The following is a 6,220-nucleotide window of genomic DNA, read 5'->3' on the forward strand; positions in this document are numbered from 1 at the left end:
AAGAGAAATAAATATTTTTACTTTCAAAGGCAAGCAGCAGCAATATAACCATATTTAGGGAATATAAACTCATGCTTGCTTTATCCAAGTCATGCCATAGTTCCTTATTTATATTTTTATGTCAAGCAATTCTGTCAAATTTAGCAAAAGACATGATTATTACAAAAAATTAAATAAACATCCTTAGATCTCAATATAAAAAAGAAAATTATTTCTAGCACGGCAGTAGAAAAAGTCACCAAAAAAAAGTTCAAAGCCAGTAAGACACTATTTTAAAACATTAGCTAATTCAAAAATATCCCCACCAAACTGGATATTACTCGATGCTGAAAAAATATTCCTTTTGGCAAAATCAACTTCTATTTCTACCTTAGTTTTCTTCCTTCTTTTTTCCCTATTAGTCTCTGCCCTGTCATCTGTTATATGTATGTAAAAAGGTCTAAGAAATTTTTTTACAACCTAATATTTAAATATTATTATTATTATTTAGAGACAGGGTCTCACTCTGTCACCCAGGCTGGAGTACAGTGGCAAAATCATAGCTCACTGCTGCTTCCAACTCCTGGGTTTAGCCTCCTGGGTAGTTGGGACTACAGGTGCAGGCCACCATGCCCAGCTATTTTTTTTTTTTTACTTTTTGTAGCAACAGGGTCTCGCTATGGTGCTCAGGCTGGTCTTGAACTCCTGGCCTCAAGTGATCCTCCTGCCTCAGACTCCCAAAGTACTGGGATTACAAGCATGAGCCACCCTGACTGGGCCAAAGATATTCCTTATAGTGATTCACAAATTGTAGTTACTTGTTTTGTTTGTTTGTTTTTTGAGAGGGAGTCTCACTCTGTTGCCCAGGCTGGAGTGCAGTGGCGTGATCTTGGCTTACTACAACCTCCACCTCCCAGGTTCACACAATTCTCCTGCCTCAGCCTCCCGAGTAACTGGGATTATAGGTACCCATCACCACGCCCAACTAATTTTTGTACTTTAGTAGAGATGGGGTTTTGCCATGTTGGCCAGGTTGGTCTCGAACTCCTGACCTCAGGTGATCAGCCTGCCTCAGTGGCCTCCCAAAGTGCTAGGATTACAGGCATGAGCCACCGCACCTAGCCTTGTAGTTACTTGTTTAAAAGTCAATCTATTTGAAAACTATGGTACAGATGAAAGTAACTTGATTGTTAGAAGAGAGTTTTGTCAGATTTATCTTGATAGATTAAAACAGTGCTATGAACTTGGTATGTGCCTAATTACAATAGTCCCCCCTTATTCACGCTTTCGCTTTCAGTGGTTTCAGGTACCTGTGGTCAACTATGGTCTGAAAATAAGTGACTACTGCACAATAACAATTCTGAGAGAAAGGGAGAGCCATATTCACATAACTTAATGAACATGGTCTCTCCCACATTCCGGAGCAAGAGAGAGTGAGAATAGGGGAGAGGTGCCACACACTTTTAAAGGACCAGATCTTGCAAGAACTCACTCACTATCGTGAAGACAGCACCAAGCCATGAGGAATCTGCCCCCATGACCCAAACACAGCATATTATTATAATAGTTCTATTTTTAGTTATTGCTGCTAATCTCTTACTGTGCCTAATTTATACACTAAACTTTATCACAGGTATGTATGTATAGGAAAAAACATAGTATATTTAGGATTCGCTACTATCTTTGGTTTCAGGAGTCCCCATGTGTCTTAGAACATATCCCCTGGAAACAAAGCGGGAGACTACTATAAATACATGTTAGACAATGAGAGGGGTGGCTAGAGAGAAAGTGAGGGGTCACAGCAAAAACTACCCAAAGCACCACTTTCCTAAACCACCCATGTGCTAAAGTATGGAAATCATCACATTAGGGTGAGAAAGAATAAGGGTCTTCAATTGCCGCATGAAACATCAAAATCTGCCAGGTGCGGTGGCTCACCCCTATAATCCCAGCACCTTAGGAGGCTGAGGTGGGTGGATCACGAGGTCAGGAGTTTGAGACCAGCCTGGCCAACATGGTGAAACCCTGTCTCTACTAAAAATACAAAAATTAGCTGGGCATGGTGGCATGCGCCTGTAGTCCCAACTACTCTGGAGGCTGAGGCAGGAGAATCGCTTGAACCCAGGAGGTGGAGGTTGTAGTGAGCTGAGATCGCGCCACTGCATGCCAGCCTGGGCAACAGAGTGAGACTCCGCCTCAAAAAAAAAAAAAGAAAAAAAAGAAACATCAAAATTGTTAAAATCACTGCTATGGTTTGAATTTTGTCTCCCCCATATCCCCAAAAAGATATGTTTAAGTCCTAACCCCCAGAACCTCATAATGTGACCTCATTTGGAAACAGGGTAATTGCAGATATAATTATGGCGGTACCTGCGGCGAATCCCTACAGGTCTGCAGCAACCCCAATTATTGCCTCCTCAGAAGAAAGAATTTGACTGAGCGGCATAAGGCAGAAGGAGAGACCGAGGCAAGTTTTAGAGCAGGAGTGAGTTTATTAAAAAGCTTTAGCGCAGGAATGAAAGGAAGTAAAGTACACTCCGAAGAGGGCCAAGCGGGCGACTTGAGAGATCAAGTTTGTAGTCTGACCGTTGACTTGGAGTTTTTTTGTTTGTTTTCTTTTTCAGACGGAGTCTCGCTCTGTTGCCAGGCTGGAGTGCAGTGGTGTAATCTAGGCTCACTGCAACCTCCGCCGCCCGGATTCAAGCAATTTCCCTGCCTCAGCCTCCCGAGTAGCTGGGACTACAGGCACGCGCCACAACGCCCGGCTAATTTTTTTGTATTTTAGTAGAGACAGGATTTCATCATGTTGGCCAGGATGGTCCCGATCTCTGACCTGGTGATCTGCCAGTCTCGGCCTCCCAAAGCGCTGGGATTACAGGCGTGAGCCACTGCGCCCGACTTGACCTGGGGTTTTATATGTTGGCATGCCTTGGGGGTCTGGGGTGGAGGTGGGGTTGCCTCCCTTCTTTCCTAATTCTTCCCTTGGGGTGGGCTGCCCGCATGTGCAGTGGCCCGCTAGCACTTGGTAGGGGAGCATGCAGTGTGTTTACTGGAGTTGTACCCATGCTTGCCTGAGGTGTCCTGCCCTTACCAGTCTAGCATTCCTAGAGGAAGGTCATGTACCAGTTAAACTCTACCATTTTGTCTCTTAATGTGCATGATTAAGCCCACTCGCCCAACTCCTGAGATTTTATGGGAAGCTGCTGATCACCAGTTTTAGGTGTTTTCTGTTTTGGGAGGTGGACCTTCCCTGGTGCCTGCTGTGAACAATTATTATTTTAGAGAGACAGTTAACAAAACCGTCTGACCATCACTTGATGGTCCCCTGACACTCCTGGTGTGTGTACGTGCGTGTGCGCAGGGGTGGGGGTCAAGGTGGGGAAGTGGGGTGGGGTGGGAGTTGGGGGAGCCCTTTTCTGCCTTGCTCATACCTGTCTGGCTACCTACTGTAACAACGGGTCATACTGGAGTAGGGTGGGCCCTTAATCCAATATGACTGGAGTTCTTGTAAGAAGACAGCCATATGAAGACACAGACACACAGGGTGAGCAGCATGGGATGACAGAGGCAGAGATGGGAGTGATGCAGCTGCAAGCTGAGGAACAGCACATGCTGGCAACCCCCAGAAGCCAGGAAGAGGCAAGGAAGGACCCCCTTCCAGGCTTTAGAGGGAGCAGGTCCTGCTGACCTCTTAATCTCAGACTCCCAGCCTCCAGGACTGCAAGGCAACACAGTTCTGCTGTTTTAAGCCATGCAGTCTGTGGTACTTTGAGTAGCCCTAGGAAATTAATACAATTACTTTATTTCATTTTATTTTAAAAGCTATTTAAGGCCGGGTGCAGGGGCTTATGCCTATAATCCCAGCACTTTGGGAGGCTGAGGTGGGCGGATCACCTGAGGTAAGGAGTTCAAGACCAGCCTGGCCAAAATGGTGAAACCCCCATCTCTACTGAAAAAAAAAAAAAAAAAAAAAAAAAAAAAAAAAATTAGCCAGGCCTGGTGGTGCGTGCCTGTAATCCCAGCTACTCGGGAAGGCTGAGGCAAGAGGATCACTTGAACCAGGGAGGCGGAGGTTGCAGTGGGCTGAGATTGCACCTCTGCACTCCAGCCTGGGCAACAGAGTGAGACTCCATCTTGAAGAAAAAAAAAAATACACATTTTGAAAGGAAAAAAAACAGTTTTGTCAGTGAAAAACTACTAAAATTTCATGTATTTCTTCCATTATCTTTCCTCTGAATAGTTTTAAAATTTTACATGGCTATGACCATAATCTCATACAAATTTTGTAGTGATATTTTCAATTTATATTGTAACATTCATTCTCTATGTTATTACAAACTTTTGTAAACATCCTTTAAATTTTTCAATGTAGTCAATGTTGCCTAGATTATTGTTTGGCAGCTTTCTTTTAGATTTCTATTTTTATTATTATAGACAGTCTCTTGTATCTGACTCTTGAAGGAGTTAAAAATGCTTTAGATTATCTTATCAGTTCCCTAAAATGTGCTCTGAGTGAAATAGGAGGTAGGCTATTTAATTAAAAAGCAGGCTACCAAATAGACCCTAATAGACTGAGCTCACACTTAAATAAACTGGAATGGGGTCACAACTCACTCTCAGGTCTATGTGTTAGTATGAGAAGGAAGTGTCAGATAATTAATGCATACTTAGTCCCAAGATACCAGGTTGGGTGATGTAACCACTATAACGGTAGATTCTGGTAGAACCAAATCCAAAGCCCAAGTTCCTGGATTCCCTCCCTTGCATCATTTCTTTTTTCTTTTTCTTTTTTTGAGATGGAATCTCGCTCTGTCGCCCAGGCTGGAGTGCAGTGGCGGGATCTCAGCTCACTGCAAGCTCCGTCTCCCGGGTTCACGACGTTCTCCTGCCTCAGCCTCCTGAGTAGCTGGGACTACAGGTGCCCGCCACCATGCTCAGCTAATTTTTTTTTTTTTTTTTGTATTTTTAGTAGAGACAGGGTTTCACCGTGTTAGTCAGGATGGTCTCGATCCTGACCTCGTGATCCGCCTGCCTCGGCCTCCCAAAGTGCTGGGATTACAGGCGTGAGCCACCACACTCGGCCCCTCCCCTGCATCATTTCTATTTCTTTACTCAGGTCATGACAATGATTACAAAAAATGTTTAAAGTTGACATAGTTTGGATATTTGTCCCGGCCCAAACCTCATGTTGAATTGTAACCCCCAATGCAGGAAGTGGGGCCTGGTGGGAGTTGTTTGGATCATGGGGGTGGATCCCTCATGGCTTGGTGCTGTCTTCGAGACAGTGAGTGAGTCATTGTGAGATCTCCTTGTAAAGTGTGTTGCAGGGCTAGGCATGGTGGCTCATGCCTGTAATCCTAGTCCGTTGGGAGGCTGAGGCGGGTGGATTGCTGAGCTCAGAAGTCTGAGACCAGCCTGGGCAACATGGTGAACATGGTGAAACCCTGTCTCTAATTTGAAAAAAAAAAAAAAAAAAAATTAGCCGGGTGTGATGGCATGCACACCTGTGGTCCCAGCTACTTGGGAGGCTGAGGCAAGAGAATCGCTTGAACCCAGGAAGCAGAGACTGCAGTGAGCTGAGATCGTGCCACTGCACTCCAGCCTGGGTGAGAGTGAGATTCTGTCTCCAAAATAGTAATAATAAATAACAATAATAATAAGATAAACATGTGTTGCACCTCTCCCCCACTCTCTCTTGCTCCTGCTTTTGCCATGTGATGTGCCTGCTTCTACTTCGCTTTCTGCCATGAATAAAAGCTCCCTGAGGCCTCCCCAGAAGCCCAGTGATGTCAGCATCATGCTTGTACAGCCTGCAGAACTGTCAGCCAATTAAATCTCCTTAGAAATTACCCAGTCTTGGGTATTTCTTTGCAGCAAACAAGAACAGCCTAATACAAAAGTGTTGCTTAGTTCTGAGCTCATCAAACATATATTTAATAGATATCTCTGCCATGTGATTATGTAAGTCTTGGTTTCAAGTACACTTAACTCAGGGTTTTAAAATTTCTCTTAGCAGTGGAAATCTCATCTTAAAAAATATTATGAACATTTCTAATTTATAAAATCTAAAAAAGCAGAACTTGTGTGGTGGAAGAAGGGAGGGCCAGACAGTGAGCTCAGCAGTCCTATTACTAGCTCCTCAGACCTCCCCTGGAATATTCAGGAGGACCTGATCCATCTCTAGGGAACCTTGGGGCACTGAGGAACACAGTTTGTACAACAGAACACATATTCTATTTTT

The 6,220-nt window shown here is 44.3% G+C and overlaps 1 annotated feature.

Annotated features, from left to right (window-relative positions):
• Nucleotides 5,182-5,384: a silencer, noted in NCBI's record as "fragment chr2:102304849-102305051 (GRCh37/hg19 assembly coordinates)". NCBI's record gives its function as "represses an EF-1alpha promoter that drives an FKBP-Casp9 reporter gene in an ReSE screen in K562 erythroleukemia cells {active_cell/tissue: K562}" and the evidence as "EXISTENCE:reporter gene assay evidence [ECO:0000049][PMID:32094911]".

The sequence above is a fragment of the Homo sapiens genome, chromosome 2 (assembly GCF_000001405.40).
Source record: "Homo sapiens chromosome 2, GRCh38.p14 Primary Assembly".
NCBI classification, from domain to species: domain Eukaryota; kingdom Metazoa; phylum Chordata; class Mammalia; order Primates; family Hominidae; genus Homo; species Homo sapiens.